At 55.5% G+C, this 26,814-nt stretch overlaps 1 protein-coding gene across 18 annotated transcripts, besides 5 other annotated features; it reads right to left on the reverse strand.

Moving 5' to 3' along the window:
- MLC1 (modulator of VRAC current 1) lies at positions 234–26,718 on the reverse strand. Of its 18 annotated transcripts, none has more exons than NR_164812.1 (13): positions 26,198–26,269; positions 25,569–25,804; positions 23,927–24,016; positions 21,187–21,240; positions 20,761–20,862; positions 18,244–18,345; positions 17,684–17,755; positions 15,059–15,175; positions 11,370–11,426; positions 9,276–9,398; positions 4,877–5,041; positions 2,296–2,500; positions 234–1,043 (listed from the first exon to the last, which is right to left on the reverse strand). NR_164812.1 is itself a non-coding variant. In NM_001376475.1 (13 exons), exons 3-13 carry the CDS (start codon positions 25,743–25,745, stop codon positions 2,426–2,428), a joined length of 1,134 nt encoding a protein of 377 aa, NP_001363404.1. In that variant the 5' UTR covers positions 25,746–25,804; positions 25,982–26,139; positions 26,648–26,718; the 3' UTR covers positions 234–2,425. The 18 variants fall into 18 exon arrangements, 15 of the variants coding, with proteins under 15 accessions (NP_001363404.1, NP_001363402.1, NP_001363407.1 ...); NR_164811.1 differs by having other exon boundaries at positions 234–995; positions 25,982–26,269; NM_001376475.1 differs by lacking the exon at positions 26,198–26,269 and adding exons at positions 25,982–26,139; positions 26,648–26,718 and having other exon boundaries at positions 234–2,500.
- Positions 12,660–13,542: an enhancer, noted in NCBI's record as "H3K27ac-H3K4me1 hESC enhancer chr22:50510246-50511128 (GRCh37/hg19 assembly coordinates)". NCBI's record gives its function as "activates a minimal SCP1, AML or CMV promoter by ChIP-STARR-seq in naive H9 embryonic stem cells {active_cell/tissue: H9 hESC(naive)}" and the evidence as "EXISTENCE:reporter gene assay evidence [ECO:0000049][PMID:30033119]".
- Positions 13,543–14,424: an enhancer, noted in NCBI's record as "H3K27ac-H3K4me1 hESC enhancer chr22:50511129-50512010 (GRCh37/hg19 assembly coordinates)". NCBI's record gives its function as "activates a minimal SCP1, AML or CMV promoter by ChIP-STARR-seq in naive H9 embryonic stem cells {active_cell/tissue: H9 hESC(naive)}" and the evidence as "EXISTENCE:reporter gene assay evidence [ECO:0000049][PMID:30033119]".
- Positions 14,744–15,250: an enhancer, noted in NCBI's record as "H3K4me1 hESC enhancer chr22:50512330-50512836 (GRCh37/hg19 assembly coordinates)". NCBI's record gives its function as "activates a minimal SCP1, AML or CMV promoter by ChIP-STARR-seq in primed H9 embryonic stem cells {active_cell/tissue: H9 hESC(primed)}" and the evidence as "EXISTENCE:reporter gene assay evidence [ECO:0000049][PMID:30033119]".
- Positions 23,903–24,197: a silencer, noted in NCBI's record as "tiled region #9327; K562 Repressive non-DNase unmatched - State 7:EnhWF". NCBI's record gives its function as "represses a minimal TATA promoter and a strong SV40 promoter by Sharpr-MPRA in K562 cells {active_cell/tissue: K562}" and the evidence as "EXISTENCE:reporter gene assay evidence [ECO:0000049][PMID:27701403]".
- Positions 25,917–26,541: an enhancer, noted in NCBI's record as "NANOG-H3K4me1 hESC enhancer chr22:50523503-50524127 (GRCh37/hg19 assembly coordinates)". NCBI's record gives its function as "activates a minimal SCP1, AML or CMV promoter by ChIP-STARR-seq in naive H9 embryonic stem cells {active_cell/tissue: H9 hESC(naive)}" and the evidence as "EXISTENCE:reporter gene assay evidence [ECO:0000049][PMID:30033119]".

The raw sequence follows: 26,814 nt of genomic DNA on the forward strand, positions 1-26,814 counted from the left end.
AGGGGGGGAGTGGGAGCGTCCCCTGGCGGGGGTGGTTCCCTTCCAGCTCCCTCCCTCTTCCCCGGGGAATGCCACTGGGCTCTCACCAGACCCCAGTACTGGCCTCTAGGGGTTACACAAATCAGTGAGTGAAAAGCTGGCCCTCCCTCCACCCGCCCCTCCTCCCTGTGTCCCGATGTTTTTAGACCTGAGTGAGCTGACGCTGCTGAGACACAATATTAAATAGCCACAGCCACGTCTGCAAGTCAGCGTTTATTGCTCAAGCGTATTAAACAAAAATGTAGACTGAAAGAGACAGTTCTTTTAAACCCCATTTTTCCGGATTTTTTAAGCGCTCTAAAATAAGAAAATAAGAAAGTGCAAGCCAGCAAAAACGCTCCAAGTGCCTAATTCTGACTCTGAAACTTGAGCTCTCTGGTCTGCCCCCAAGAAGACATCAGCCCGCCCCGGGTCGTCCCTGTGGCTCCCACCCCATTCCCAGGAGCAGACCCCGCCAGCCTCAAAGCTGCAGGGAGGTGGGGGTGGCCTGCAGACAGGGTGGGGTCTGCATCCGGTACCAGTGACAGCAGCCTCTCCTCTCCCACGGTGGCGCTTGTTTGGGGCTGTGGCCAAAGTGTTTGCCCGGCCCCTGACTGTGTCCTTCCGGAGCTGCCGAGGACTGCAGAGAGGGCCTGGCTTGTCCCCTCTAGGAGCAGCTGGGAAGGTGTCTTGCCTGCATCCCCCTTCAATGGTTGAAAATAATGATTCCACTTGTCATGAACACCATGAAGGTATCTTGGCAGCCAGAGTCACTCCTGTTCCGCAGTGGGAAACCTGGGAGGGTCCTCAAACCCCCTGGCAGGGTCTGCAGGCCGCCCCATCCAGCTGCATCTCCCAGGCCTCCTGGTTCTTTGATCTTGATGGCCCCAGGCCACAGATGCATCTCCGGGCCTTTCCAGCAGCCCATGGGGGACCAGTCAATACACCCCACGGCGGTGAAGAGAAAACGTTCATGTCTTCTCAGATCAGAAGGAAAGAAACAAAACCATTGTGAAGGAAAACACCTGCTGGAAAGTAATTATCAAAGTAACAGCATTCCAGTTTCACAGTCGCCCCAACTCACTGTGGATTTACTGCCGTCAGCTGGGAGGACCCAGGCGCCCTCGGGACGAGGAGACGCAGGGAAACCCACTCCTGGCCATGGCACTACCCAAAGCCAGTGTTATTCTCACACCCAACTGTCCCTGCAGCCTGGCAGGTGGGCAGTGACCGCCTGGGCTGTACCCTAAGACCCCAAAACAGCGGAGATGGAGAAGACCGCTGCCCTGGGGCCTTCTCAGTGAGGATCAAGACAAAGTACTTGCTAGGAGGTAGAGGGCGCTGGGTGAACCTGTGAGAATTCCTGGGCTCTGACCTGATCTGTCCTGCATTTTGAGTAATGGGAGCAAACACAGGAGGGAGGGGCTCAGCTTCCCCCGGTCACTGGGGCCAGGGAGACGTGGTCCAGCCGGTTTACAAAGCCTTGGATGCAGCCCCACCCCCAAGAACACTGCCTGTCACAGCAGCGGCCACGTGGCACTCCAAGCTGGGCATGACAGTGCCCGGGACGTGGGCAGCGGCCATGTGGCACTCCAAGCTGGGCATGACAGTGCCCGGGACGTGGGCAGCGGCCACGTGGCACTCCAAGCTGGGCATGACAGCACCCAGGACGTGGGCCGGCCAGTGTGGCGGTGGATCCCTCTAGAATGACTGGGTCTAAGTAGGGAGACAGGGCAGGCGACCCGGCGTGGACTGGTGTGGATTTCACCTGGGAGAGCAGCGGCAGCCTGTGTCGCTTGCGCCCAGGCTCTGGAGGAGGGGCCCCTGCGGCTCCCGGGCCAGGACAGAGGCGCCCAGCCCTGCTCTCACTGTCCAGGAAGAGCCGCTGGGCAGCCTGAGCCTGGGGCAGGTGCACCTTGCAGGGAAGTGGGTAAGATCCCACTGGGCTGACTGAGTACCCGGGACAGACCCTAAGCGTGGAGGGAGGAAGCCCGGTCAGAGTGGGCAGGAGACGCAGGGACCCACAGTCTGGTCAGGTCCAGAGAGCCCACTCCAGCCCAAGCCATGAGAGAGGCAGGAAGAGGAGCTGGGGCCAGTTCAGGGGTGGGGCTCTCAAGAGGCCGAGCCGGGGGCCCTTCCTCGGCCTGGGAAGTTGCGGCCATGCTCCTGCTGTTACGACACGGGAGCCACTCGGAGCTGACTGATCTCACTGAGGCACAGACTAGCCAACATTGGCCTATTTTAAAATTAAACTACCCTAGGAAGTGAAAACCCCACCTGCAGCCTGGTTTGCCCTCACACAAGGGAAAAGAGGTGTTAGAAGCAGTAGCTCAGGGCGATTAGGGGTTGTGCGTTTCCATGCTTGGGGCCAGGCTGGGCGCTGCCACCCGGTTTCCGCGTCTGGGGGTCACTGGGCCATTTGCACCACGACGGCTCTCCAGGCTTTCTCCTTGTCGAACTCCTTCAGGGGGCTCCTGGCCACCTGCAACCGAGACAGGAAAGGTGTTACTTCACCAGGGCCACCTGTGCGGCGGGAAGGTGGACACGCCACTCGGCCACAGGCAGCGAGCAGCCAGCGTTCAGAAGTTTTCTTCGAATGTGAAGGAAGTGGGGAAACTAACCCCTGGGCCTCTGTGGAAAGAGATAAAAGCCTTCACTTCCTCAGTGTCCCAGAAACGCCTGCATCCCCCCCCGCACACACGGTTTCTACCGAGCCTGGGATGGAGCAGCCCTTCACTCGGCCCCTTGCCCTGGCTCTGGGGCGGGGAGCGGGGGGAGGCCGCCCAAGGTTGGGCATGTGCCTGACGGCTGAGGAAGAAAACACTTAAGGCAGAGGTAACCAGATGCCTCCAGGCAAAAGGGAGGACAGCGCCAGCCCCAGCTGTCCACCCTGAGCCCCAGTTGTCCACCCTGAGCCCCAGCTGTCCACCCTGAGCCCCAGTTGTCCACCCTGAGCCCCAGCCACCCACCCTGAGCCCCTGGGCCCCAGCCGTCCACCCTAAGCCCCAGCCATCCACCCTGAGCCCCAGCCGTCCACCCTGAGCCCCAGCCGCCCACCCTGAGCCCCAACCGCCCACCCTGAGCCCAAGCCACCCACCTTGAGCCCCAGCCGTCCATCCTGAGCCCCAGCCGCCCACCCTGAGCCCCAGCCGCCCACCCTGAGCCCCTGGGACCAGCAGTTCTGGGATCTGGGGAGAACACCTCATGCGTCTGACTCTGGGCCTTGCTGGTCACAACAGAAACCCAGGCGGGTCTCATTTCAGGCCCAGGGACTGCCGTCCTAGCAGGGAGACTGACCACAGCCAGGAAAAATGGCAGCAAAGCAACTGAGGAGGCAGGTTAAGGGAACAGCAGTAGGGAGGGTGGAGGGTGGGGGCGACGGGGTCAGCTGAGAAACGAGCCAAGGGCAAGAGAGCGTCCTCCGGGACTTAGCGGGCACTGGAGGCTCTGCACCAAGGTTCTGAGGCCGGTGGTGTGCTGAACACAGGAGGGCAGGGTGTGCAGGGCAAGAGCAGCGGCCGGTCCGCCCAGGATGGCCTAGAGGTGGGGCAGGACTCAGAGCCCCGCTGAGTGGCTGCCCAGGTGTTTGGGCATCAAGGTGACAGTCCTAGTGGTCACTGCACCTGAGGGTCAGCGGGCAGGTTTGCCCAGGGGAGCACCACCAGGACCCGTAGCTCGGTGGGGGGAAGACGCTGAGCCTCTGCCTTTCAGATGTGGGGGCAGCAAGACAGTAGGCAGGGCCCGGGGGAACATTGTTCAGGCAGTGACAGCCAGAAGTTGTTGACACCCCAGCTTTACGGAGCCCCATGTGCCAGGCTGGGTGGGCATTGCCTTCCCTGCAGAACCGCGTCCCCACCAGAGACCAGGGAAGGAAACTTCAGGACCTGTGGGAGTCCTCACAAAGCCCTCTTCTGTGTCTCTAAGAGCAAATCTGAAAGCATTAAGTCCAGAATATTTCCCAGGGATGGGTCTGGGTTTACCCAGGCTTTGTGTTTGTATTTTTAAAAGACATTTTACGGCTGGGCGCGGTGGCTCACGCCTGTAATTCCAGCACTTTGGGAGGCCAAGGCAGGCGGATCATGAGGTCAGGAGTTCGAGACCAGTCTAACCAACATAGTGAAACCCCATCTCTACTAAAAATAGAAAAATTAGCTGGGCTTGGTGGCGGGTGCCTGTAGTCCCAGCTACTCGGGAGGCTGAGGCAGGAGAATTGCTTGAACCCAGGAGGCGGAGGTTGTGGTGAGCCGTGATCGCGCCACTGCACTCCAGTCTGGGTGACAGACTGAGACTCCTTCTCAAAAAAAAAAAAAAAAAAGAAAAGAAAGACATTTTACTTCTTCGGGGTTTTTCTGGGGTGTTTTTAAAAATACAAAGTGGCACAATGAATCTTCGAGGGCCACGTCGTGTGGCCCTCGGAGGCCCTCACCAGGACAGGAGCCCCCACCGCAGGCCTCTCACCTCCCCAGCGGGTGCTCCTGTGGGCCACTCACCTCCCCAGCACCCCTGAAACCCACAGGCCTCTCACCTCCCTGGCTGAGCACCCCTGTGGGCCACTCACCTCCCCAGTGCCCCCACCCCACAGGCTTCTCACCTCCCTGGCTGGGCCCCCCATGGGCCACTCACCTCCCCAGCACCTGCACCGCAGGCCACTCACCTCCCCGGCTGGGCACCCCTGTGGGCTACTCACCTCCCCAGCACCCCCTCCCCCTGCAGGCCACTCACCTCCCCGGCTGGGCACCCCTGTGGGCCACTCACCTCCCCAGCTTCCCCCCACCCCACAGGCTTCTCACCTCCCTGGCTGGGCACCCCCGTGGGCCACTCACCTCCCCAGTGCCCCCTCCCCCTGCAGGCCACTCACCTCCCCAGCCAGGCGCTCCTGCGGGCCGTTCTGGGTGTCCCAGGATGCACCCTGCAGCCTTGCACTGACCTTGAAGCGCACGCACTGGATGGCGGTGCCCGTGTTGAGGCCGGCCTGCAGCAGGAGCACTAGCAGCAGCAGCAGCAGCAGCACATCGTAGGATGGCTGCAGGCGGAAGGAGGTGTGAGCAGAGTGGCCCAGCCGCCCTCCAGCCCAGGAGACCAAAGCTCCCTCGTGCCCACGGCCTTCACAAAGAGCAGGTGCCAGGGCTCGAGTCGGAGCCCCAGTAACCCAAACGCATTGCTATTTCAACAACCTGATGATAATCATTCTAGCTCAATTAATGAGGTCAATTCTGCTTTAAATTCCATCAGCTTGTGTTCAACATACAGGAATAAAAGTGACCGAGCCACTGCCAGGCCCCGTGGACAGTGCTGGCTGCTAGTGGTCAAGTCGCTCCACCCCTCCTGCTCCAACACGCGCAAGGCTCAGTCCCAGAGCCAGAGAGAATGTCCGCGGGAGGCAGAAGCGCTGACCGTTCCGTGTCAGCAGGATCCTGAGCGGAGGAGACAGGGGGCAGCCGTCCTGGGGGGATGGGGTGCACAGACCCCCAACAGCTTCACCCCTGAGCACCAGCTGCTAGGAAGGAAGGGGCAGGAGGCAGCGCGGTGAGCTCGGCAGGGAAGAGGATGGAGGGAGCGGCCGAGGATGCAGGGGGCCAGAGAGTGACCACGGAGCACCCAAAACCCTCTGTGCCCATGGATAGCTTTCCCGTGTTGGCTCAAGAAAAACAAAGCAACTAAATGTTAACACACAAAAGAGCCAAACATCTATCCAATGTCACTGCTACAAAAAGTAAGAGAAGAAACAGAACGAACAGCTCTTCTCAAGTTAACATAAAACTTTTTTTTGCGACAGTCTCCCTCTGTCACCCAGGCTGGCGTGCAGTGGCGCGATCTCGGCTCGCTGCAACCTCTACATCCCAGGTTCAAGCGATTCTCCTGCCTCAACCTCGCCAGTAGCTGGGATTACAGGTACCCGCCACCACGCCCAGCTAATTTTCGTAGTTTTAGTAGAGACGGGGTTTCACCATGTTAGCCAGGCTGGTCTCCTAACCTCAGGTGATCTGCCTGCTTCGGCCTCCCAAACTGCTGGGATTACAGGCATGTGCCACTACGCCCGGCCTGGATTTTAAGTAATTATTAGAAAGTCTGGTACTTGTGTTCCCAGCTGGAGTTTACCCTGGAGGATGGTAAAGGCATGGGCCCCATGTGGTCTTTGCTCTTCGGTTGTTGAGACACCATTTATTGCAAAGCCTATGCTTTCCTCAGTCTCAAAAAAAAAAAATCCAGAGCCATTAAAGAAAATATTAATCAACTTAACTATTTAAAAAAATAGCTTTCACATAACAAAAATCACAACAAGCAGAACAAGAAATAGCCGCCAGGCTGAGACCACCATTTGTATCCTCCATCACAGATGGAGCTGGTCTCCCCCGGCACCAGGGTTAGCGGAAAATGGTCAGGAGACATGAGCAGAGTCCACTGAAAAAGCAATGCAGACGTCCTCATGCTTTGTAAGAGGTCCTCGTCCTCACCCACATTGAGACGGAGGTGCTCCCACCCGTGTCACCGAACTCCAGCGTGACACCCTCTGTGGGGGGCTGTGGAGAAGTGAGCACCTTCACGCCATTGGCAGGAGGGAAGGTGGACGGCCCCCATTGAGGAGGTCGCCGAGATTTATCAGCATGACAGCTGCACCTACCCTCTACCCAGCAGTCTCTCTCCTAGCTGGATATCCTAAAGATGCGCTGAGGATTCAAAAGGAAGATGCGTGCAGGTTGTTCACGGAGGAGTTATTTATAGTAGCAGACGGTTGGAAATAACTCAGTTTCCATCACTAGGGACTGGCTGGGTTGACCGGGCAGTCAGGAGCGATGAAGGAATTCAGAAGAGCTCTGATCCCCTTGGGTATCGAGAAAACACCAGGATAAATTATTAAGTTTAAAAAAACAAGCAAGGGGCTGGGCACGGTGGCAGAAGCCTCCTCATCCCAGCACTTTGGGAGGCCAAGGTGGGCGGATCGCTTGAGCCCAGGAGCTCATGACCAGCTCAGGCGACAGAGTGAGACCCTGTCTCTGAAAAATAAAATAAGTAAATACATAATTAAAAAGCGAGGTACATGGCTGGGCACAGTGGCTCACGTCTGTAATCCCAGCACTTCGGGAGGCCAAGGTGGGCGGATCGCTTCAGCCCAGGAGCTCATGACCAGCCCGGGCAACAGAGTGAGACCCTGTCTCTGAAAAATAAAATAAATAAATACATAACTAAAAAGCGAGGTATATGGCTGGGCACGGTGGCTCACGTCTGTAATCCTAGCACTTTGGGAGGCCGAGACAGGCAGATCACTTAAGGTCAGGAGTTCAAGACCAGCCTGGCCAACATAGTGAAACCCTGTCTCTGCTAAAAGTACAAAAATTAGCCGGGTGTGTTGGCATATGCCTGTAATCCCAGATGCTCCGGAGGCTGAGGCAGGAGAATCACTTGAACCCAGGAGGCAGAGGTTGCAGTGAGCCAAGACTGTGCCACTGCACTCCAGCCTGGGAGACAGAGTGAGACTCTATCTTAAAAAAAAAAAAATGGCAAGGTACAGAATAGTGATTCTAGTATACAAGCTATTTTGTAAGAAAGAAAAAAAAATTATCATCTGGTTGCCCATAAGAGGAGCAGGTCAGTCAGGCATGAGACCACAGCTTTTCTGAGCTCGTCTTTTATAGTTTGGCTTTTGAACCACATAAATATTTTATATATTCAAAAAATACCATTTTAAAAAGAAAAAAAGCACCAAGCCCTAAAATGGAATACAACCAGAGGCCATTAAACTTAATGGGGTATCGAACCCAGAGGATAACCCCACACAGAAAGGGGCCGACTTCGATGGCGTGTGGCCGTCCCCTGCTAGCAGAATGCATGCTGAAGATAAAAGGGAAGCCTCAGGCTCACTCAGGAGATGGCCCCTGGGTGGTAATATTGTCTCTTGTAATCGTGAACAATTATATGCATATTGTAAGACAACATGAAGTAGGAGATATATTAAATGTCACAGGAAACAAAATAATTGGAGTAGGAGTGGGTGAAGCAAACACAAGAGAAGTGAAGAAAAAACCCTGGGCCGGGTGTTGTAGCTCACTCCTGTAATCCCAGCACCTGTGGGAGGCCGAGGACGCTATCCCCCTTCAGACAGTGACTCCATGCCCCCATCAGACAGTGACTCCATCCCCCATCAGACAGTGACTCCATTACCCCATTAGACAGTGACTCCATCCCCCGTCAGACAGTGACTCCATCCCCCGTCAGACAGTGACTCCATCCCCCGTCAGGCAGTGACTCTATCCCCTGTCAGGCAGTGACTCCATCCCCCGTCAGGCAGTGACTCCATCCCCCCATCAGGCAGTGACTCTATCCCCTGTCAGGCAGTGACTCCATCCCCCTGTCAGGCAGTGACTCCATCCCCCCATCAGGCAGTGACTCCATCCCCCCGTCAGGCAGTGACTCCATCCCCCGTCAGGCAGTGACTCCATCCCCCATCAGTGACTCCATCCCCCATCAGACAGTGACTCCATCCCCCATCAGACAGTGACTCCATCCCCCATCAGGCAGTGACCCCATCCTCCATCAGACAGTGACTCCATCCATCCATCAGACAGTGACTCCATCCATCCATCAGACAGTGACTCCATCCCCCATCAGACAGTGACTCCATCCCCCATCAGACAGTGACTCCATCCCCCATCAGACAGTGACTCCATCCCCCCATCAGGCAGTGACTCCATTCCCCATCAGCACACGCATGTTGACCTGGAGCAAACAGCTTAATACAGGTCTTCTAATGATTTGGGTGCAAAACCACTTATACTGGAAAAAAAAAAACAAAAAAACAAAAAAACACTAGGTATCTAAGAAATACATCTAGCTACACGTGCCTGAGCCTCAGAAGTCGTGTTGGAGATAAGCTCCTACTGGGTCAGCTCAAAGTAACAGGACTTTGAATTCTCCTTAAATTCACCTGTTAAACTCAATGCAGTTCTGATGCAAATCCGAAAAGCATGTCTCATAAACCCAGGACAGATTCTAAAATGGGCTCAGGGACAGAGTGGGTCCCAGGTCCCTGTGAAGCAGGTGGTGGCCCCAGATACAGGGCGGAATCGAGGCCCCGAGGCCCTGGGGCCAGGCTGGCATTGGGGAGCACGGTCACCGCTGCCCAGGAACAGCGGAGGAGGTGCCTCCTGGAGCTGTCCCTGGAGCCAGCGCCCCCAGAGTCCCAGGCAAAGCCAGCAAGGGCCAGGCCAACACGCAGAGCACCACATGTCTGGGGGGCTCTGAAATAAAATACAACTCACTTTTATGGCTGGCGGGTAATCCTTAAACATCTCCACGATTCTCATGATGCTGAATGACAGATATCCAGAGGCTGTGAACAGCAGCGGAGACGTGAGGCTGCTTATGGCAATCAGGACCTCCACCTGGAAAAAAAGCGCGGGTTGCAGGACCACGGCCGGAGCCTGGGAGCCCAGGACAGCGGGCGTGGCCAGGGCTGGGGGGGCGGGCATGGCCGGGCACTCATGGGCATAGTCCCAAGCTGGTTCCCTGCATGACTCCTGCTGAAACCTCTGCCTTTTCTTTTTTCTTTTTCTTTTTTTTTTTTTTTTTTTTTGAGACAAGTCTCGCTGTGTCGCCAGGCTGGAATGCAGTGGCATGATCTTGGCTCACTGTAACCTCCGCCTCCCGGGTTCAAGTGATTCTCCTGCCTCAGCCTCCCGAGTAGCTGGGATTACAGGCGCCCGCCACCACACCCAGCTAATTTTTGTATTTTTAGTAGAGACCGTGTTTTGCCACGTTGGTCAGGCTGGTCTTGAACTCCTGACCTCAGGTGATCCACCCACCTCGGCCTCCCAAAGTGCTGTGATTACAGGCATGAGCCACCGCGCCCGGCCTGCCTTTCTTTCTTTTTTGAGAGGCAGCCTAGCTGTGTAGCCCAGGCAGGAGTGCGGTGGCACAATCTCTGATCACTGCAACCTCTGCCTCCTGGGTTCAAGCAATTCTCCCGCCTCGGCCTCTTGAGTAGCTGGGATTACAGACATGCGCCACCACACCTGGCTAATTGTTTTGTATTTTTAGTAGAGACAGGGTTTCACCATATTGTCAGGCTGGTCTTCAACTCCTGACCTTGTGATCCACCCACCTTGGCCTCCCAAAGTGCTGAGATTACAGGCATGAGCAGCCTGCCTTTTCATTCACAGCACAGTGCCACAAGTTTTGAAATACTTACCATCTAGGCAAGGTGGCTCACATCTGTAATCCAAGCACTTTGGGAGGCCGAGGAGGGCGGATCACCTGAGGTCACGAGTTCGAGACCAGCCTGGCCAACATGGTGAAACCCCCATCTCTACTAAAGATACAAAAACTAAGCGGGTGTGGTGGCGCATGCCTGTAGTCCCAGCTACTTGGGAGGCTGAGGCAGGAGAATCGCTTGAACCCGGGAGGCAGAGGTTACAATGAGCTGAGATCGTACCACTGCACTCCAGCCTGGGTGACAGAGCAAGACTCTGTCTCAAACAAACAAAACCAAGAAACAAAAAACATTTACCTGCAATTCTCCACTCTTGAAAAAATAGCCCTTCCGCATGGGTCACCTCCTTCACTGCTCTGAAGTCTGTCCTTTTAACCCACCCCAAATCTTCCTGTTTGACCCATCAAGTCTCAGAGACAGCCTTCACTCATGCCAAGCATGGGCAGTCACCTTGCAAAGCACTCAGGGTCCACATTTTGGCAGCAGTCATTAACGATCGACCAGTTCAATTGTTTGCGGTCAGTTTGTGGCAGTTTCGGCCGGGCGTGGTGGCTCACACCGGTAATCCCAGCACTTTGGGAGGTTGAGGTGAGTGGATCACCTGAGGTCAGGAGTTCGAGACCAGCCTGGCCAACATGGTGAAACCCCGTCTCTACTAAAAATACAAAAATTAGCCGGGCATGGTGGCAGGCGCCTATAATCCCAGCTACTCAGGAGGCTGAGGCAAGAGAATCACTTGAACCCGGGAGGCGGAGGTTGCAGTGAGCCAAGATCGTGCCATTGCACTCCAGCCTGGGGGACAAGAGCGAGACTGCATCTCAAAAAAGAAAAAAAAACAATCGACCAGCCTTAGGAGGTGCAGATGATGCTCAGACACTGGTCTCCTTCCAAGGGTTAGGCACAGAGAGCGCTTCCAGTGTCTACACCACCTTGTTCAGGTCTGCCTGTCCCTGAGAACAGTCCCTGCTGAGCGGGCCAGCCTCCACCTCCCACAACCCCACCTTCCTCATTGTGCAGGCCCTGCAGCCCAGTCACTGCGCTCTCTTGGGCTGGAGCCTGGTCACATGGCACCAAGGGAGGGCTAGGCCAGGCCCTGGCCCCGCTCGGTGGGTCCCTGGCACCCAGGGCTGAGGGGTTCACCCACCAGACACTTGCTGGGACACTCTGCTGCCACATGACTGGCAATGGCACTTGGAAAGCACTAAGAGAAAAGAAAAAGGAAAGATTTTAGAGGAAATAGTCGAAGAAGTCGAATTCCAAACATGTGCCCTCCCACCAGTGACCCCTCCATGCAGGCTGCCTGGCTGGCTTGCTGTGGGGGGCAGGGGGGATGGTGCAGTGCCCAAAGGCGCAGCTGGGGCAGGGACGGGTCCGCAGGGAAGCAGGGGTAGCCTCTCAGAGGTTTTGTGTGCTCTCTGTTCCTCAACCATTGGTTTAAAATTTTAAGCCTGTAGAAAAGCTGCAAGAGCAGTGGAGGGGGCATCTGAGGCCCCAAAATCACCAGAGTCCTTGACATTCATATCTGTGCTCTCTCCAGCTCTCCCAGATAGCCTGATGCCTGAACACCTGAGAGTGCTGGCTGAGCCCAGGGCACACTCTTGCACACACCCAAAGCAGGACCACGCTCGAGAGACTCCACGTGGGGCCGATGTGGTCCATGCCCAGATTCTTCCAGTTGTCCTCATCATGTTCTTTCTTTTTAATTTTTTAATAATTTTTCTTTCTTCTTCTCCTTTTTTTTTTTAAGATGGAGTCTTGCTCTGTCACCCAGGCTGGAGTACGGTGGCGCGATCTTGACTCACTGCAACCTCCACCTCCCAGGTTCAAGCCTCCTGAGTAGCTGGGATTATAGGCACCCACCACTACACCAGGCTAATGTTTGTATTTTTAGTAGAGACGGGGTTTCGCCTTGTTGGCCAGGCTGGTCTCGAACTCCTGACCTCAGGTGATCCGCCCGCCTCGGCCTCCCAAAGTGCTGGGATTACAGGCATGAGCCACCGCACCTGGCCCTGGTCATGTTATTTCTAGAGCTGTTTGTTTGTTTGCTCCTGATCCGGATTCGGTCTGCCATTGAGCTCGTAGTCTCCTTGTGGGTCCCTGTTAATCGGGGAGTCCCTCAGCCTCTGTCACCTCCGTTACCTGGTCGCTTCTGGGGGGTGCAGCCCATCAGCTGCAGTCGGGCCTCCGTGTGGGACAGGATTTCCTCATGATGAGCCTTGGGGAGCCTCGGAGGAGACTCTGCAGTGCCCCAGGGTGTGGACTGCCCCTTCCTGATGACGCTGACTTGACTCACTGGGTTAGGGGGATCTGTAGGTTCCTCTGTTGGATGGGCACCTCTTCCTTTTTATAACCAAGAAATGCCCTTTTCCCACTTATTGTGAGGAGCCTGCCTTAGTTCCGCACAATGTAGGCAGAGGGAGGATGCATGCTCTTCATCCTCTTCATCTCCCCGAAGGTGTCCAGGTGCCAGCACCCCAGCCCGGCCTGCTGGGGAGGGGGCTGCATCAGCCAGGGGCTGTGGTGAGAGGGTGGGCAGGACAGAGATGGGCTCCGAGCAGGGGAGCCTGGGCAGCAGGGAGAAGACTGGGGAGCTGAGGGGCTGCCAGTGCAAAGGCCCCAAGCCAGCTGCTGAGGTGGGTGTGGCCCTGGCCAGGGAGGCTGAGGTGTCAATACAGGGGTCTCTCCTGGGCTTGGTGCTTCTGAAAGGGCCTTCTAGCTGTAAGCAGCAGTGAGGGCACAGGAAGGGATGGTGGCTTCAGGGTGGCCTATTCAGGGCCCCAGTGAGCCATGGGAGGGCGGGAGTTTCCCCGTTCACCCAGCATGGCCACTCCGGCCCCTGCCCTAGAGGGCCAGGAAGCTCAGCCATAGGGGCTGGGGCAGCTCAATCAAGGGCCCTGCCCTGGAAGGGTCCAGGCCTGCAGCCCAGCCCCCAACTCCAGCCCCGAGCACCTGCCTCCAGCCCATGGTGCAGGGCCTGGGCCCCTCTGCCGCACCCAGGCCAGACTCAGGCAGGTGGAGCTGGGTCCCTCACCACGCATGCCTCAGCGCTCTCCTCTCCTCCTGGGGTCTCCTGCCCTGAAGAGAGGGTTGGGAGTGTGGGTGGATTTAGGGGCGCCCAGGGGGCAGCACCTGATGGGCAGGGGGTGCTCTCCGGGAAGATGGAGAGAGCAGAGCCACCCCCGAGGCAGGAGGGGTCTGCGGGATGGGAGGGGCCTCTGTGATGAGGGCTGACTGCAGGGACAGGGAAGGGGGTAGGGCAAGTGCCTTTCATTCTCAACTTTTTGGAGGTATGTGGTCTCTGTCCTCCCTCAGCTTCGGGATGTAATCCCTGCGTTTCAGACCCCAGGGTCAGTTGTACACACCTGCAGGCGTCATTCTCTCTGTCACAGACCCGCTTGGGTGGGCACCCATGTGAGTTCTCTGTCTCAGTAGCTGGGCCTGGTCCTACCCCTTCCGGGGGTGTGGCTCTATCCCAGCTCGGTCCTGCCTGGGTCTCTTTCCCTCTCTGAGCGCCTCAGCAGCCCACTAGGTCGGGCACTGGTGCCCTGGGGGCATTGCTCTGTGCCTACTCGCCCCCACAGGGAGCTGAAACACAGCTGCTGCCAATGGGATGTGTCCACCTGGCAGGCGTGGGCCCCTTCTCGGCAGTCCACCCGGCCACACCGTTCCCGGGCAGGCGTGGGCCCCTTCTCCGCAGTCCACCCGGCCATACCATTCCCGGGCAGGCGTGGGCCCCTTCTCGGCAGTCCACCTGGCCATACTGCTCCCAGGCAGGCATGGGCCTCGGCAGCTTCAGGAAGAGCCCCACTGCTGCCCAGGAGGAGCCTGTAGCTGATGCTGGGTGCTCACCATTCCTGCTCATGTACATAAGAGAGCAGGGGCAAAATCTAAAAGTCCACACAGCATGAGACAAACCAGGGGCTGGCCGTCAACACCGGTGTGCAGGCCACTACGCGGCAAGGTGCTGAGAACCTCGTGGGGTCTGCGTCCGGAGGCAGGTGGGTGGTGGCTCTGGGTGGGCTACAGGCTGTGAGGGGATCTGGGGTGTGGAGGGGTTGCTCTAGACTCACTGTTCTGAGGGAACACACCTGTAATCCCAGCACTTTTGGGGGCCGAGGCAGGCAGATCACTTGAGGTCAGGAGTTCAAGACCAGCCTGGCCAACATGGCAAAACCCGGTCTCTACTAAAAATACAAAAAAATTAGCTGGGCATGGTGGTCCACGCCTGTAATCCCAGCTACTTGGGAGGCTGAGGTGGGCAAATTACTTGAACCCGGGGAGGGGCAGAGGTTGTAGTGAGGTGATATTGAGCCACTGCACTCCAGCCTGGGTGGCAGAGTGAGACTCCATCTCAAAAAAATAAATAAATAAAATAAATAAAACAATGCCCATGTATTGAGCATGTGGCATGTGTCAGGTGCTGTGTGACACATCTGCTGCAGTAACATTTAATGTAAAGTAATAACAGAAATATGCTGCATTGTATGAAACACATAGTGTAATATAAATGCATTATATATTAGAAAATTATATAGAATAATAAACATCTACAGCCTGACATTCATATGTTAAAAAGATTAGAATAATAAAAATAATTGGTATTTTTTTCAGGAAAAATAATATAAAATAATCACACAAACTAATATAAAAGCAGTTAATACTTTGACTCATTTAATCCTTAACTCCCCAGTTCTTCTGAAGTTGGGGGCCAGCGAGGACCCTCTGTGGTGACTCTCTGTCTGAATGCACCAAGACTGAGCTCGGGGCCCAGCCACGCAGGATCTGAGCAGTGTGGCCCAGAGCGGCGGCGGGCGGGCCAGAGGGGTTACTCACGGCCACTAGGATCCAAAAGAACGTCACTGAGAGGTGTGGGCCTGAAACTGAGTCATCCACGTTCAGGGCAATGATCCCCCCGAGGACGGCAGAGATGCCTGCGATTACCTCGACGACCTGGAGGGGACAGGACAGCATCGGCTCATAAGGAAGTGGAGACACCCCCAGATTCCCAGAATGCACTGTGCAGACATGGACCCCCAGGAGCAGGGTCCAGTGGGCTGGCCCCAGATCTAACCGTGGAGGAGCCCACCTGGATGGACCCCCAGCCTCACCTGGCCCAGACCCCCTCTGCCCTCAGCTGCGGCTTTTCACGTCCCTCCTGGAGTAAAATAGCCAAAGAGGTGTTTCCCCCACTGCTGCTTTTGTCCACAGAAACTGAGGGTATTGACCTGACAGTGGTGAGGGCAGAAAACCAAGACCCTCAGACTCCCTTCCCTGTCTCACAGTGTGGCAGGCGGCGGTGCTCAGACCCTGGACCCCATCGAAGGGACTCGGGAAAACAGGCCTGGGGCAGAAGTAGCTTCCCATAGGACACACCCACCCGTGCCATGTGGGTTTGCCATTGCCACGGCAACACTGGACGTCACCACCCCTTTCCGTGGCAATGATCCAACCACCTGGACGTTAGCACCCCTTTTCTAGAAATTTCTGCATAATCTGCCCCTTAATTAGCATATACTTAAAAGTGGGTATAAATAGGAGGCAGAGCTGTCTCTGAGCTGCTGCTCGAGGCACCTGCCGGTTGGAGAGCCCTGCTATACTGCCACTGCAAACAAAGCTGCTGTCTGTCACCTCCAGCTCGCCCTTGAATTCTTTCCTGGACAAAGCCAAGAACCCTGCTGGCCTAAGCCCTGGTTGTGGACTCATCTGCCCGGCACCATCAGGGCCGCAACCAGCACCGCCAGACTCAGGGAGGGGCCGCAACCAGCACCGCCAGACTCAGGGAGGGGCCGCAACCAGCACCGCCAGACTCAGGGAGGGGCCGCAACCAGCACCGCCAGACTCAGGGAGGGCTGGGGAAGAAACACACGCCCGAAAACCTGCTCCCGTGAAGGATCTCTGTGAGTCGCAAACACAGAGCTGTGGCCAGCAGGAAAGCCAGGCATAAGGAGTGGGCCAGCAAGGGCTTGGGGGCCGGAAGGGACCTGGGCAGCCAGGCCTTGCGTCCAGAAGGCACAAAACTCCAGATGCACAAATAAAGCTGAATTCCCAGCCAGGCACGGCGGCTCATGCCTGTAATCCTAGCACTTTGGGAGGCCGAGGCAGACGGATCGTGAGGTCAGGAGTTTGAGTACAGCCTGGCCAACATGGTAAACCCCGTCTCTACTAAAAATAACAAAAATTAGCTGGGCGTGGTGGCGGGCACCTGTAATCCCAGCTACTCGGGAGGCTGAGGCGGGAGAATCGCTTCAACTCAGGAGGCAGAGGTTGCAGTGAACCAAGATCACACCACTGCACTCTAGCCTGGGCAACAGCAGGACTCCATCTCAAAAAAAAAGGAAAAAAAAAAAAGAAGCAGAACGGAAATGGAACCTAAGAGAGGACTGAAATGCTAAATAAGGGGAAGTGAAGGCACTGGGAAACACACACAGACACAGTCAAGCACACAGGAGGCTGTCCCATTGTTGGAGTAAAAAGGCAAAATGTCACTAAATGTCACAAGCTAGACAACAAGGCCAAGGCGGAGGGAAGGGGGACAGACCCCGCATGGTCTGTTTATCAAGGAGCGTATTAGAATATGAAGGGCAACCCCCAAAAGAATACTGAAAAATTTCCCATCCAAAATTAGAGGGAAAAGGAAGGACGGAGCCTCTGCCAATTCAAAAGAAGGCAGGGAAGGAGGGAAAAAGGCAAAATCAGGGAAAATGGAAAACTCAAAAGATGGTAAAAATAAGTAGAAATTTATCAGTAATAACTCTCAGAGGAAATGGGCTACATTCAAAAAGCTAGGGAGAGAGAATGACAAGATAAAGAACAAAATACAGTTACGTGCTGCTTATAACAATTATACCAAAGTACAAGGCAAGAAAAGTTGAAAGTAAGAAGGAGAAAGAGGCCAGGTGCGGTGGCTCACACCTGTAATCCCAGCACTTTGGAAGGCCTGGGTGGGTGGATCACTTGAGGTCAGGAGTTCGAGACCAGCCTGGCCAACATGCCGAAACCCTGCCTCTACTAAAAATAAAATAATTAGCCGGGCGTGGTGGCATGTGCCTGTAGTCCCAGCTCCTCAGGAGGCTGAGGCAGGAGAATTACTTGAACCTGGGAGGCAGAGGTGGCGGTGAGCTGAGATAGCACCACTGCACCCCAGCCTGGCTGATGGAGTGAGACTCCGTCTCAAAAAAAAAAAAAAAATTCCTCGGGGACAACAGTGTCAACTCACCTACGGCAGTAACAAACTCCCCCTAAAAATTACAGGACACCAGCAGCACCTTTCGCGATAAGGAAGGTTATTACCAATGATACCAATAACAGACTAGAGTCTCCACAGATGAGGCGCACGCCGCCATGCGGTGTAGACAGCCAACTCTTCGCCAACTCGGAATCGAAACGTGACGTTTAATCCAGCCTCAGTCACCCCCGACAGAGTATGAGAGAAAAGAGAAAGAAGGGAAGTTTTCTTACTGAGTAAGATTTCAGGACCCGAGCAGGAAATGGCACTTCGTCCAGAATGTTGGCGCTGTCAGACATGGAGCCCTACGAAGAAACAGAACTGTCACCCCGGGTGCACGGGCACAGGGACTCAGCACTGCCGCTGGCATCCGGCCGCCGTGGGCAGTGGGTCAGGTCAGCCTGCCGTGTAGATGCGAGACCGCCTTGGAGGCGCCCGTGGATCTTTGGGCTTGAGGAAATGTTCACACACATTGTCCTTGCATATGAAAATTAGCAGATGTGGTGTCTCCTGGTGATCCCCTGGGGACGAGCACTGGACTGAGTCAGGCTTAGGGGGAGGGGAGGGTACAGCATCTGTCTTCACCTCCCTGTAGCCAGCGGCCGCCAACCCCTCACCCAGCTCCAGAGCCCCTCCTGGCCGGGGTTTCTGAGACCCAGGAGAGAGGGGTCTCATGGGAATGCCCTGGAGCAGCCCAGATCGGCCCTCCGAGGGTGACGCTGAGACCCACCTCGCTCACCCTGGGGTGATGCCTCTGCACCCCCTGCCCTGCGGGGTCAGAAGCTGCACCCACCTTCTTTTTCTTGCAGTCCTCCTCGCTGGACCGTGCAGCGATGATCACCGTGGCCGCCATGAGCAGCTCCAGCAGGAGCAGCAGGATGAGGTTGAAGTTGATCTGCCAAGGGGCACACACGCTTCAGCACCGGGCCCGCCTTTCTCACGCCACCGCGCTTCAGCGTCCACCGGACCACCTCACGGGCAGGCTGCGCAGGACTCTCAGCCACGGTCCCCACTTTTCCCATCCAGGGCCAGCTGTGAGGCACTGTGGGCTGCACACTCTCCTGCCTCACATGGGCCTTTGGGGTCTTTTAGTTTTTAAAACCATTCTTAGTGCAAAGGCTGTACAAACACAGGCCAGGGCTGGATTTGGCCTTGGGCTCTGGTCTACCGACCCCATTCTGAACGCTCCTTGTTCCCACAAAAGCCTTCACGGAATGTTTAGAGTAGCTTCATGCATGATTGTCAAGCACTGAGAACATAAGGTTTTTTGGAGGGTAATGAAACGACTGCAGGCCCTGACCGTATTGGCAGTGACATGAATTTATATGTGTGTTAATATTCATAGAAGCATACATTTTAAAAAGTCAGTGTAGCTGTCTGACAATTTTTTTTTTTTTTTTGAGACGGAGGTTCGCTCTTGTTGCCCAGGCTGGAGAGCAAATGGCGCAATCTCGGCTCACCGCAACCTCTGCCTCCTGGGTTCAAATGATTGTCCTGCCTCAGCCTCCCGAGTAAGCTGGGGTTACAGGCACCTACCAGCACGCCCGGCTAATTTTGTATTTTTAGTAGAGAGGGGTTTCTCCATGTTGGTCAGGCTGGTCTCGAACTCCTGACCTCAGGTGTTCCGCCCACCTCGGCCTCCCAAAGTGCTGAGATTACAGGCGTGAGCCACCGCGCCCGGCCTGACAATTTTTAAAATACATTTAAAAAAGAAAGAGTGCAGAACCACATTCAACTAAAAACAGAGCCTCGAAATATATGATGTCATAACAGAGCCACAGGAAGATGTAGATATATCAGTAGAGGTGGGGAAGGACTTGAAACACTTTTCTTAGAAACTGACAGATCAGGCAGAGGGAGGCGGCTCACGCCTGTGATCCCAGCACTTTGGGGGACCGAGGCGGTTGGATCACCTGAGGTCAGGAGTTCCAGACCAGCCTGACCAACATGGTGAAACCCCTTGTCTACTAAAAATACAAAAATCAGCTGGGTACGGTGGCGCACGCCTGTAATCCCAGCTACTCGGGAGGCTGAGACAGGAGAATTGCTTGAACCCGAGAGGCGGAGGTTGCCGTGAGCCGAGATGGAGCCACTGCACTCCAGTCTGGGCGACAGAGCGAGACTGTCTCAAAAAAAAAAAAAAATGACAGATCAAAAAGACAAAAGCATAAGGAGAACTCTAAAATTCAGAAAAGTGTGACATTAACCTTGTCTTTTATTTTCTGTATTTCTGGTGCTTTGACCTCTGGCTCCTTCCTGATCCTGAAGAGACAGCTCCTCCCAGGGCCAGCCGACAGCTACAGTGAGTAACTTGCCTCTGAGCAGTTCAGATACAAGCCACTGACCCAGGGACCACACCCCATCTGCTCTCCGTCTTAATAAAGAAGCGTCACAGGCCGGGCGCGGTGGCTCATACCTGTAATCCCAGCACTATGGGAGGCCGAGGTGGATGGATCACCTGAGGTCAGGAGTACAAGGCCAGCCTGGCCAACATGGTGAAACCTTGTCTGTACTAAAAATACAAAAATTAGCCGAGTGTGGTGGCACACGCCTGTAATCCCAGCTACTCCAGAGGCTGAGGCAGGAGAATTGCTTGAACCCGGGAGGTAGAGGTTGCAGTGAGCCGAGATGGCGCCACTACACTCCAGCCTGGGCGACAGAGCGAGATTCCTTCTCAAAAACAAAACAAAACAAAACAAAAAGGCAGTGTGGGTGTTCCCACTGGGTCCTCCTGTGTCTGCTCATTTTTCCTGCCCAACGAGAGTGGCCAGGACATACTCAAGCCTCCTCCAGCTTTCCCCAATCATCAAGTGCATTCCACATGTCACACAAAGCAGGAGGCCCTCCTTGCAGTATCTCGGATGAGGTCCTGGTTTCCTTTGGGATTTTTGTCTTTTTTTTTTTTTTTTTTTTTTTGAGACGGAGTCTTGCTCTGTCTTCCAGGCTGGAGTGCAGTGGCGCCATCTCGGCTCCCACAACCTCTGCCCCCTACAATTTCACATTTTTGTTTAGAGGTGCATTGAACAACTGTCTTACACAGATTGGATGAAACATAGTATTATGTCACTGTTAATTTTTAAGGACTGTTGGAAAAGACATTGTTTACCAATAAATCTGTCCCGCAGAATCACGAGACTTCAATAAAGACAATTATTTTCTTTGGATGCATAAATCTCTCAACTTTAGTCAAACTCACGAGCTGTGAATAACATTTACCACCTATTTCCAGCTCAACAAACATTTGCTGACACCATTCGTGGGAGTGGGGCTGTGGGTGTCAGGCGTCTGCGCGAAGCTCGTGTGAACTCACGTTTATTGCTGATGGGTTCAGGACTAGTTTGCATCCAAACCAAATTAAACACGTAGTGGTCACAGCAAACGTGGAAACAAACAATATCTGAAAGTTGGGAATCTGAAAAACAAGGCAGGAGGGGTTTTCCTTCTTTGAATAATAAAAGAAAAAAGGTAACAGATAAACCACACTTCAGGCCATTCACTAAAAATTATCCTGATTAGGACATAATGGTGGGGAGTCCTGCGTGCTCAGCCCGCTCTCCCCTCTGTGCGGCAAAGGCTGGGCTGGGCAGGAGCTTTACTGTCTGGGGGGCAACCTCGGGGGCCCCTCTCGGTGCCACAACGTCTGTGCGTGGGCACACACACAAGCACACATGGGCACACTGTCTGTCAGCCCCTCCGGCTTTCTCCCTGGCAGAGGCTGCCTGCAAGCTAGACTCACCACATTGGCGTTCCTCCTGGAGACGGTGAAGCTCACAATTGCCGAGGGGATGCACTGGAATGAAACCGGAATCCCATGAGCCTGCCGCTCACCTGAGCAACTGAGACTCTGAAATACTCTAACATTTGCGCTTCCAGAAGGATCTGAATCATATTCACAAAACAGTGTTGCCAGTCCATGCAACACAGTGGGTTGGCTTGACTAGAAGGCCCCCAGGTACTTCTCAGTTTTAATTTTTTCTTGAGATGGGGTCTCACTCTGTTGCCCAAGCTGATCTTAACTTTGGGCTCAAATGATCTGTTCACCTCAGCTTCCCAAAGCCCTGCGATTACAGGCATGAGCCGCTGCGCCCAACCCCCAGGTACTTCAAAATAATTTATTCTGAAAGAAGTTTTTATTTTTCTGATGTGCTAAAAAGATATTTGTTAATGAAGGCTCTTCTAGCTGGATAAGCTTTGAAGCCTAGAATGTAACTCACGCAGGCACAAGACCTGGTCTTTGCTGAAAATTACCCAAAAAAGGAAAAAGTATCAGCCGGGTGCAGTGGCTCACACCTCTAGTCCCAACTACTCCGGAGGCTGAGCTGGGAGGATCTCTTGAGCCCAGGAGTTCGAGGCTGCAGTGAGCTGTGAATACTCGGTGATAGAGTGAGACCTTGTCTCAAAAAAAGAAAGAAAGAAAGAAAGAAAGAAAGAAAGAAAGAAAGAAAGAAAGAGGAGGTCTGGTGCAGTGGCTCACACCTGTAATCCCAGTACTTTGGGAGGCTGAGGCGGGTGGATCAGAGTCAGGAGTTTGAGACCAGCCTGGCCAACATAGTGAAACCCCATCTCTACTAAAAATACAAAAAAAATTAGCTGGGCGTGGTGGCGGGTGCCTGTAGTCCCAGCTACTCAGGAGGCTGAGGCAGGAGAATTGCTTGAACCCAGGAGGTGGAGGTTGCAGTGAGCAGAGACGGCGCCATTGCACTCCAGCCTGTGTGACAGAGCAAGACTCCGTCAAAGAAAGAAAGAAAGAAAAAAAGAAAGAAAGAAAGAGGAAGGAAGGAGCAAAGGAAGTAGCAAGACTCTGCATGTGAGGGAGGCAGAAAGGAGTCCCACAGCCTTCTTGTCCTCAGCCTTCTTGTCCCCACAGGGCCACACCAAGGCTAGGAGTCCAGGGCCAGGGAGGGAGGTTGGGACGTCAGGGACAGGGAGGTGGATGGAGTCGGGCCAGCCCAGGCCTGTGGCCCTTGCCGTGCAGGGCCTTGCTCCTGCAGCCATGGGACCCCGGGCCCTGAGTCGGGGGTGCAGGCCCTGAGGGGCTGAGCACAGCAGTGCTGGGTGAGGAGGCAGAAGAAGCCCCGTCGGGGCCTGAGCGAGGGGCAGAGCTAGGGCCAGGACAGCCAGGCTCAGCTCAGCACCCACTCAGGTGCCACGAGGGCCCAGGGTAGAGAAGAAAGGCCGGGGGCAGGGCCGAGTGGGGCCAAGGCTGGGCGGGGGTGGGCACTTGCCCATATCCGGCAGCCGCTGAGGCTGAAGGGGCACAGCTCACAGCTCCACTGGGACAAGGGCGGCTCCCATGGTGAGGATAAAGGCCACGGAGAAGCTTCCAGAGAGGGCAGCAGAGTGGGACGGGTCACCTGCCCCAAAGGGCTTTGTTCTAAGGGAGCAGAGACCCAGGACAGCACGGGGCGGGGCATCCACTTTGTTTTTAAGACATTTCGGGGGCGCTGCTGGGGACAGTCACCAACAGTGTCCCTAGAGAAAGGGCAGGGGCCAGAGACCCAGCAGGCATGTGGAAGCGAGAGGAGGGGAGAGCTCGGGACCAGCTGAAGCAGGAGGGGCGTGGGGTCCGCGGCTTGCGGGCCAGAGGGGCATGGGGTCCGCGGCTTGCGGGCCAGAGGGGCATGGGGTGCGCGGCTTGCGGGCCAGAGGGGCATGGGGTCCATGGCTTGCGGGCCAGAGCCCAGGGGTCAGCCAGCATGGTGCTCTAGCTGCCGGGACGCTGGGGAGGCAGTGGCCGGGGTTCACAGAGGACCAGGGGACAGCGGTTGTCTGTCCTCCCTTGCTCTGAGGATCAGTGGGTGCCTCCACCGGCCTTGGCACTGTGTAAGTTTCTAAAAACACAACATGAAGCTTTGGGAGGATGTGGGGCACAGGTCCCAGTCCCCTGAGGGCAGATGCTGCCAGCTCTGGCAGGACGCAGCCGCAGGCTCAGAATCAACACGCAATTCCCTGCACAGGCGTCTGCAGAGCAAGGTTCAGGCCTGCTTCATCAGTAATTCTCAAAGGTGATGAACTCTACGTGAAACTAAAGTCATATGAAGAGTTTTTTGTTTTTTTCTTGTTGTTGTTGTTTTGAGACGAAGTTTCACTCTCATTGCCCAGGCTGGAGTGCAGTGGCACAATCTGGGCTCACTGCAACCTCCGCCTCCCAGGTTCAAGCGATTCTCCTGCCTCAGCCTCCTGAGTAGCTGGGAGTACAGGCACCCACCACCGCGCCCAGCTAATTTTTGTATTTTTAGTAGAGATGGGGTTTGTCCATGTTGGTCAGACTGGTCTCAAACACCTGACCTCAGGTGATCCACCCACCTCCACCCCTCAAAGTGCTGGCATGACAGCCATGAGCCACTGTGCCCGGCCCATATGAAGAGGTTTGAATGAGGTACAGGTGACAGAAACCTGCACATCTCAGAACAAAGAAACCAGAGCACGTGCCGGCGAGCTTGGGCACTGGCAGAGGCGTGGAGGAAGCTGCTTACAGAGCCTGCAGCACAGCGCAAGTAATCCATCTCAGCCGGGAACACGTTCCCCAGGTACAGCGAAAACCCCGAGGTCACCAGGAGGCAGCTCTGCAAGACAGCGACAGAATCCCAGGTTACAACGCGCCCCGTCCCCAGGCTGGACCCTGACCCTTCAACTTCTGCTTCACTGTCTGTGTATTGGTGACTCACCCACGTCCCCCAGCATCAACCACACCCGCACCTGGGACCCGCCCATCCTGGACTCCTCCTGTAGGACAGACGCAGCCCCGCCGCAGCCCAGGACATGGACCAGCCTCCCCCAGCCATGTCGGAGCATGGACCCCCCACGCTGTTATCTGGAGGAGAGAAGAAAGGGGATCTGCCAATATTTAGAGCAAGGAATGGCACCTCTCCCCACAAAATACTCCTGCCCCAACATGTTGTGCGTGCAGTCTTCCAGATCCCACACCCAGGTCCAGACACGAGACTGGAAAACAACTGCCCATCCCCCTCCGTCTGCAGAACCTAATTTCCAGATCTGGAAGAAGATCCCTCCAGGCAGGGGCTCCAGGCCCAGGGGCTCCTGAGCAGGGAAGACCCTAGCAGGAGGCAGGGAGGGTGCTCTCTCTCACGCACAGCACTGCAGGGGTGCGGTGGGGAGGGGGCTCTCTCTCACGCACAGCACCCCCGGGGTGAGTCTGAGGGGAGTCAGTATCAAAGGTCACTGGGACCCAGGGTCCTGGCAGAGGAAGCGAGGTCTGGGGCAGAGGGGATCTGGCCTGGGCGGGGGAGGGGCTGCGACCAAGTCCAGGGCACCAGGTGGAGGAGGGCAGAGCCCGGAGATGGCCACCACCACCCGGGAGCCGCCTCTGTCCCCAGCTCCGAGGCAGACGCCTGTCTTGGTGGGGCATGCTCAGGCCACGGGAGGTGGGCAGGACCACTGTGGGTGCTGCAGGGGCTGCCGGCGGAGGCCAGGGCACAGGGAGGGGAGAAATCACAGCCTGGATCTCATTCTCAGCCCAAGCTACACGGAACCGGGGGTCCCTGCATAGAGGCCTGTCCTGCAGCATGGCTCTGAGCAGCTGCACACACTCAGGCCCAAGTGGCTCCTCCAATCATCTCTGTGCCCACGACTGTGCAGGGAATGGCCAGGACCCCAGGGAAATCCCTCGGACATCTGGCGCTGCCCGTCCACCCCAGACCTGTTCCTTTGTTCCCCAGCTCCCTCCCAGCCGGCCCCTGAGGCCCTCCCTAGGAGGAGGAGGTCCCTGAGGTTCTCTCTGTGAGGGCCGACCTGAAGGCCTGAGACGCCTCCTCCCACCTTTGCAGGTGACCCCTCAGAGGACCCTGGGCCCCCAGAGCCGAGGGTCATGGAGACTCCTGGGGCCCATTCATGGCCCTGGGACTGTCCCTACCCTGGTGGGACTAAGCCACAACCTGGAGCAGCTCAAGGCTGGCACAACAGACACCCATAAATTAATAAAAATAATTGTGAAAACACAAGCAAAACAAGCTCGTCGGCATCCAAGAGTTCTGCAGCAGCAGGGTTAGTCTGAGAGTTGCTCTCTCTGTCCCACCTGGGGCTCCAGGGCGCTGCAGTCCGTCACCAGAGGGACCAGATGCTCGTGGCCCTCCAAGGGCTTAGTGTGGAGCTACTCACCCCCATCAGCACAGAGAAGACCCACGTCTTGTGGCTGAAGCAGGGGGGCAGTCTCTTCGACAGCTGCAGGTCGCTCGGCTTCGCGTCTGGGGCATAGCTGGCGGGGTCTTGCCGGCCCCGCTCCAGCGTGGGCATCCGGTCATAGGCCAGCTCCTCTCTGAATGGCTCCTGGGTCATGGCACTTGGGGACACCACAGCTGTGCTGAATGTACAGCCACGTGTCACCAGTTCTTTATCTGGAATAAAATTATCATCGGCTTTGGCCACTCTGAGGAAACTTCAATAAGTTGTTTCCAAGAAATATTTTTTAACAAAAGAAATATTGTTCATACTGAAGTGCTCTAAATTTGAAGAAGAAAATGAGCACTTGAATCTAAAAGTGAAAAAGAAATAACTTTCCTAGAAAAACGGACCTGAATAGTCTGGGTTCAGGGTGAGATTCTACACTTTAAATGCCTCATTGATCCATCTGGGCCCTCCAGGTGCAACACCTGACAACATCCATCGGCAACTTCGTCCATGAACACATCACGCCGGGGACTCAAGCACGTTAAACTGCTCCAATTGGTAGCTAAACGAGAGATTGCAAAACATGCCTCTACTCAACGGCTTAATGTCTGAGCACTTACCTCCCCCGCTGCTCTGCCGTTGGGAGCACTGGTCTCTGGGTGAGGGACTTCCAGCAAGAAGTATTCACAAATGAAACAAAAGCTCAGCAAACTTGAGCTGAAGGCAGGGGAAGGAGAGCTGCTTCCTGAATATCAATGAGGGGAGGAATCGGGTGGATCGTAGAAATGTTTCGTGTTGGTTGTGTAAACCACTGCCTCGGAGCTGTCAGAACCCAACTAGGAAAGGAAGGGGCCCTGCCTGTGCCACTCGCCACAGAGCTCGGGTCTCTCAGAAGAAAGAAGCGTCCCTAAGAATAGAATCCCACCAAGTACACATTCTGAGCAGGCTCTGTTTCTGAAACGTAACTGTTTACTCGAAGGTCTTCTACATCTTTCCAAGTAGCCTTTTTCCATCCCCCACAGCCACACGGTGGGAACCTCCTTCACACGGTCACATAAGCATTCACGCACTCGGCTTAGCTGTGTGGCCTTGGGCGGCTCCGGATTCGGCCCTGTGGTTTGCGTGGGCAGCCCGGATGGCTGGTGGGCCCGGTCCTGCTGCCCCCTTTATCTCTGCTCACCAAGCAGAGAAAAACCACAGTAATGTGTGTCGCCCAGAGACACTGGCACCCTGACAA

Source organism: Homo sapiens, chromosome 22 (assembly GCF_000001405.40).
Source record: "Homo sapiens chromosome 22, GRCh38.p14 Primary Assembly".
Lineage (NCBI taxonomy): Eukaryota > Metazoa > Chordata > Mammalia > Primates > Hominidae > Homo > Homo sapiens.